General features: G+C 48.7%; 2 annotated features.

Annotated features, from left to right (window-relative positions):
* Positions 4,740-5,586: an enhancer, noted in NCBI's record as "H3K27ac-H3K4me1 hESC enhancer chr7:152781037-152781883 (GRCh37/hg19 assembly coordinates)". NCBI's record gives its function as "activates a minimal SCP1, AML or CMV promoter by ChIP-STARR-seq in primed H9 embryonic stem cells {active_cell/tissue: H9 hESC(primed)}" and the evidence as "EXISTENCE:reporter gene assay evidence [ECO:0000049][PMID:30033119]".
* Positions 5,587-6,435: an enhancer, noted in NCBI's record as "H3K27ac-H3K4me1 hESC enhancer chr7:152780188-152781036 (GRCh37/hg19 assembly coordinates)". NCBI's record gives its function as "activates a minimal SCP1, AML or CMV promoter by ChIP-STARR-seq in primed H9 embryonic stem cells {active_cell/tissue: H9 hESC(primed)}" and the evidence as "EXISTENCE:reporter gene assay evidence [ECO:0000049][PMID:30033119]".

The raw sequence follows: 6,672 nt of genomic DNA, 5'->3' as shown, positions 1-6,672 counted from the left end.
TAATTATTTCAAAACAATTATGGAATCTCATTTTCTCCTTTAAAAACCATTGTCTTCTTTTACCTCCCTGAATACACACGCCCTTTACTGTCGCATGTGGATTCCCATAGCAAATGCTCTATTTCCAAACAAATTTCTTTTAGAGAGCCTCTGTTTGTTGTTTAGGTTGATAAAACACTGCAATGTTATTTATTTTTTAATCCTTATTTTATCATTTTAAGATCCAGACTTTTTTACTTTTTTTTTTTTGAGACGGAATCTCGCTCTGTTGCCCAGGCTGGAGTGCAGTGGCACAATCTCGGCTCACTGCAGCCTCCACTTCCTGGGTTCAAGGGATTCTCATGCCTCAGCCTCCCAAGTAGCTGGGACTACAGACGTGTGCCAATACGCCCAGCTAATTTTTGTATTTTTAGTAGAAATGGGGTTTGGCCATATTGGCCAGGCTGATTTTGAACTCATGGCCTCAAGTGATCCACCCACCTAGGCCTCCCAAAGTGCTAGGATTACAGGTGTGAGCCACCGTGCCTGGCCAAGATCCAGACTTTTTAAAGATCCCATTTCATTTAATGGACAGCCTTTCTCCTAGCCTTGAAACCCCAGAGGGCTCTCTGCTCCACCTCCTTTACTCTCAGGATTGGACAAAGGGCCACCAAGTCCTTCAGAGGCACCTGTGCACCATCACTCAGCACTTCCCCTTCCTGGCTTGACTTACGTCACTCGGGGCTGCTGCATGGCCTCCTATCTGGTTCCCCTTATCTTCTCTTTTCTTTGAAATACCCTTCAATCTGCTCTCAGGGGGATTTTCCTGGAATCACTTACCTGCGCCATGTAAAGGCTCAATATCTCACGTGGTTCCCCTTTGTCTGCAGATCAGAAACCAAAGCCGGGGCTCTGTATGACCATGTCTTATAGAATCTGGCTGCAGTCCTGCCTGCCACCTGTTCCCTCTGGACGGTGGGCCTCCTCACCTGTCCTCATCCAGGAGGCTCTAAGTCACCCCTTCCTTTTGTCTGTGTATGTCCCACCCCCTCCCTGCTCAGCCTAAGCCCCCTACCCACCCTCGTGACTTTTTCCCACATAGGCTTCCTTCCAACAACACCCATCAATTCAGAGCCACACAGCTCCCGGGGCAGTACTGGGCAACACCTGCATGATCTTAGTGGATCGCTCTCTCGCAGGCCTGGTGTCTCCTCCCGGATGAGTTCTCTGCGTCTATACTGGCAGCACGTGGCAGAGCACTTAGCAAAGCTTAGCAAACTGGCTGCTGCAGATGCACTTGATGACCTCGGGCAGCCCTGCCACTCAGGACGGTCCTGCCCTTCTCCCGCCTCCACTTCCCCACCTGCTCTCCCTCAGCGTGACACAGTGGCTTTGAGGACCACGAGGGGCCTTATATGAGTTTTGAAAGCAGCTAGTGCTGTTGTGCCCACCTCTCCCTCCCCTCCACCCCACCCCATTTCCTCAACTGCCCTGCCTCTTGGTGATGGCTGAAGGTGGCTGGGTCTGGACCAATGATTGATTCTTTATCAAACTGGAGAAGTCATGTTCTGAACTGCATGTTCAGGGAGCACAGCGTCCACAGTGCCGAGCCTGGAGGGCTAGGGGGACAGAACAGCGTGCAGCCTGTGCACCTGACTCATTGGCCTTCCTACCACTCACCCCAAGACCCTCACCCCCCCTTCTCCTCCAAACCTGCACTGACCCTCTAAGCGCAGACCCCCAAAATCTCCCCCATGGCTGGTCCTTTTCCTCCCTTCTCCTCTAGGTCCTCTGCAGCCCCCAGTGCAGAGTGTAAATCCCATCCACCGGCCAGTGTGAATCACCCAATTGGCAGACTGCCAAAATTCAGGAACCTAAGATTGAACGTTAATAAGCTGGTCCTAAAAATTATGAAATCATGAATAAGAATCTTGTTTTTTATGTTATTATCAGTGGGCTCCATATTCACAGATTCAACCAACCAAGGATTAAAAATACCGGGGGAAAAATGGATGGTTGCATCTGTGCTAACACATACAGACATTTTTTCTAGTCATTATTACCTAAACAATACAGCATAACAATTCTGTCCATAGCATTTACATTGTATTGGGTGTTATATGTAATCTAGAGATGATTTAAAGGACATGGAAGAATGTGCATAGTTACACACAAATACTACACCCATTTTCTAGAAAGGACTTGAGCATCTGTGGATTCTGGGGTCCATGGGGGTCCTGGAACCCATCCCCCATGAACACTGAGGGATAACAGTACTTTACATTGCCTAGTGTTCTGCCCCCAGCTTATATTCATTTCCTGAATTCAAGCTTTCGAATATAGTTGAAAGAGCTGGACAGGCCTTATCTATATTTGAATTCATATCCATACAGACTCAAAGATTAATATCCGCCCCAAAAGTATTTGGGTGATCACACGTGGACTTATGTAAGTCATCAAGCTCTAGCCTTGTGTGCTCGGGAATTATCCCCCAAGCCCCAATCTTAGAGTTCAGACAGAAGTCTTGAATTATTCTGTTTTTCTCTAAAGCTATTGAGTCACATTTATCTCCTAAGATTCTAGACTCTTACCTGATCTTGCTTTGTTTGAATCTTCCACAGCACAGAGCTGGATGAGCTCTCAGTAACGCTTGCTGTGTTGACATCTTTAACCTTTCTTACGGAATCCCATCTCTAAGGCTAACACTGCCTCCGGGCCTAACCTGCCTAGGCCCCCTTCAAGCGGACAGTTTAATTTGGAATTATGTATTAGTTGCTGACTTTTGCCTTATCTGATTGCTGGTGTGAACTTTCCGCGGGGCTCTGTTATTTTACTTCTACTCAAATATTCAGAAAAGCCTCCAGTATCTGTCACAGCCTTTCAACATTTTCATTTATTCCCATCAAATGTCAAAGTCGTGCTCTGGTGATAACTGGCATTCCAATAGCGCATGCTCATCCTCCAGGCCTCTGGTTGTCTCACGCCCTTGGGGCTGGCGAAGGAGGTAAGGCCACCACTGCAGGTGTGGAGGAAAGGAGGCTGCACAAGGTCAGAGGAGCAGGCCGAGGTCACAGCCCCGGCGTCCTCAGCTCCTCCCTGCCCAGTGACAGGTCAGGTGCCCCTGGCCACCCTTTCCTTCTCCCCTAACCACCCTATTTAAAATGCCACCCTCCCATCTCTGCCATACTCCCTCTCTCCTTTCCCGCGTAGTTATTCTCCATGACACAACTAAGCAAAATCCATCTCATTTACTGTTTTATTTTTTATCATCGACACCATAAAGGCACTTTTTTTTTTTTGTCTGTTTTGCCCACTGCTGTGTTTCCAATGCCCAAAATGGTACCTGCACATCCTGGTAAGTGCATAGATATTTGAATGAATGAATAAACAAATGACTAAGCAAATAGCATCTCCTGCCCGGGATCATCCCACCATGCTTTTTCACGTCCCACGTTCGTCATCGCTGTCACAGAGCTTGCAATCTGTCTGTCTCCGCTATTATACATCACTGTGTACCAATCTGTGAACACAGCAATGACTATTTGTGGACCAAATGAAGCCAAACCTTCTATTTCTGAATCCCATATTCAACCCACTGCACCGCAGTGATCATTTAATAAAATTAAGACCTCGGGTTAACTTAACTCCACTACCTTATCCTTGAAGCTAGGAGAGACGGAAAACCCAATATCCCAGCACAGGAGTTATTATTCCTGACCCCAAGTGTTCGTAGCTCAGGTTTCGGCAAGTCAGCAGACTCATTCAGAAACTCCTTCCCTTTTCTCATTTTCTTAGCACTGTGTGATCCCTTGGAAGATAAAGCCTTGCCGGCCTCGGACAACCTGACATTATGACTCGTTTCTCTGCCTTTCTGCTCCCCAGAACACTTTCACACTGAAGTCAATTGTGCGCCTTCTCTCCCCTCTCAATGCCATTAGTTTTTAGAAATCTAGGTGTGTAACTGAGGGGTTCACACCACCCAGAAGGTCCTATTAAAAAGCTACATAACACCTTCCTTTGCCTGAAGATAATTTTTTATTTCCTTTTTGATTTCTTGTTTGACCCATCGGTTGTGGTTTGAACCATTGGTTGTGAAGAAGTGTTTCGTTTCATTTCATATGTTGGTGACTTTTCCAAAATTGCTCCTGGTATTGATTTCTAGTTTCATACCATTGTGGTCAAAAAAGATACTTGATATGATTTTAATCTTAAACTTACTAAGACTGGTTTTGTGGCCTAACATTTGATCTGCCCTGGAGACTGTTCCATGTGCACTTGTGAAGAATGTGTCTCCTGCTGCTGTTGGATGGAGTGTTCTGCAAATATGTTAGATCCATGAGGTCTACCACAATGTTGTTCAAGGCTGCTGTTACCACAAAAAGTAATAATAACATTGGTGATAATAATAATAAAGGGACCAGGAGGAAACTCTGGGAGGTGATGGATATGTTTATGGCCTTGATGGTGGTGAGGGTTTCATGGTTGTGCACATATCCCCAGATGCATCAAGTTGTATGTATTAAAGATGCACGGCTTTTCACACATCAGTCACTCAGTAAGAAGGTACAGAACAGGCCGGGTGCGGTGGCTCACACCTGTAATCCCAACAATTTGGGGGGCCAAGGTGGGCAGATCATGAGGTCAGGAGTTCAAGACCAGCCTGGCCAACATAGTGAAACCCTGTCTCTGCTAAAAATACAAAAAATTAGCTGGGTGTGGTGGTGGGGGACTGTGATCCCAGCTACTCCGGAGGCTGAGGCAGGAGAATCGCTTGAACCCAGGAGGCAGAGGTTGCAGTGAGCTGAGATCATACCATTGCACTCCAGCCCGGTCAACAGTGCAAGACTCCGCCTCAAAAAAAAAAAAAAAGAGGATGGTACAGAACAAATAAGAGTGTCAGGCCCATGGTGTGTGGGTTATTTTGCAAAACCTAACAACTGTGTTGACTGCATGTGCTTTAAGTTTAAGCTGGAGATCAAGTGTGGGGTGGCTCTGGGCTGTGCAAGTGAGTGCCCCTGCCCTGGGAGGAGAGCCCTCCCTAGGCCCGCACAGGCGATCGCCCCATCAAAGTCTCTTAGGCAGCTCCGCTTCACTGCACCCGCTGCTGCTGACATGCCCGATGTTTCAGAAAGGAAAACACAGACACAAATCCTTCTTGCTCTGCTTGGCCTCTGAAAAAGCAGCTCTCCAGGGAGGCCCTACATCCAACAGAGGTACACCAGGGGCTGTGGAAGGGGCAGAGGCACCTTCCTGTTCTCACCTGGCTGTGGAGTGGTGGGGGGGGGATCCCGGCACCTGGGGATTCTCTTTCTCAACATGAGGCCATTCTTGAGCTTACCTTTGAGCCCACAGCCCTGCTCACAGCTCCGTGAACTGGGGGCATGATATAATTTGGATATTTGTCCCTCTAAATCTCATGTTGAACTGTAACCCCCCATGCTGGAGATGGGGCTGGTGGGAGGTGACTGGATCCTGGGGGTGTATTTCTTATGGATGGTTTAGTACCATCCCCTTGGGGCTGCCCTCTCCATAGTGGGTTCTCACAGGATCTGGCTGTTTAAAAAGCGTGTGGCCTCTTTCCCCTCCTTGCTTGCTCCTGCTTTTGCCATGTGATCCGCCAGCTTCCCCTTTGTCTCCCCCAACGACTGTAAGCTTCCTGACTCACCCCGGGAAGCAGAGCAGATGCTGGCGCCACACTCCCTGCACAGCCTGCAGAACTGGGAGCCGATTAAACCTCCTTTCTTCATAAATTGCCCAGCCTCAGGTATTGCTTAGTAGCAAGGCAAGAACAGCCTCCTATAGGGTAGTAATAGATGTTTTCCAGGTGAGTCTCCATTGCGGCTGCTGCACATCCCGTGCCAGTGCGCTTTGGAGAAAGGGCTGACCCGAGTGCCCAGAGACGGCTCCAGCAGCAGCTTCACCTGCTCCCCGTGAGCAACGCCAGCTCCCAGCACACCCATGAGCACTTGGCAGTGGCACACGGTGCTACTGGAGGTCGGCCCGGGGAGCTGATTCACAGCTGCCTTGACAAGGCAGGGCCACCTCAGGGGACTGAGCTGGGGACCTCGTTCCTAGCAGCATGGACTGCACCTCAGCTTCCTGAGAGACCCATAGCTCCCCGCCCGGCACGAAGGGCTTTGGACAGCTGTTTCTTTCAGATTTCTCCTGTAAACATCTGTCATTTAATCCAGCTGCTGAATGGCCACCTGGTCATTCTTTCCTCCTACTTATAAGGTTGCTCTGGGCTGCCCTATAAGAAGGGAGAGCAGAGGCAGCTCCTCTCTGGAAAGTTGCTCACGGCATGTTCAGGTTGGGGTTGGGGTTGGGGTTAGGGTTTTTTTTGTTTGCAATTTTTTCCCTTTTCAAGCAGAAAACAGGTAAGCTGCCTCACATCTCTTACCCCTGGACAGAGGCATTCCCCTGGCCTGGGGATTCCCCTGACCTCTGCACAGGGGTAAGAGATGAGAGGCAGCTAAACCTTCTCCCTGGCTAACCCTTGTTTAGCAACTCCCCAAGACGCCCAGCTCCTTAATCTATAATGCACGCTGTAGGAATCACCTCCGCCCTGCTGCGCGGCAGTGTGGCTGAGTGGTCTCCAGCTGCCTCCTCCTCCATGGCGACTTCAAGTTTCTTTAGGAAAATAATTCAGTTTGGCGATGTGTCAATGTTGGATACTCTTTAGGCTGAGAAGAA

Source organism: Homo sapiens, chromosome 7, assembly GCF_000001405.40.
Source record: "Homo sapiens chromosome 7, GRCh38.p14 Primary Assembly".
Taxonomy (NCBI): Eukaryota; Metazoa; Chordata; class Mammalia; order Primates; family Hominidae; genus Homo; species Homo sapiens.
Note: the sequence above shows the minus strand (reverse complement) of the source record. Positions and strands in the feature narration are given on the sequence as shown.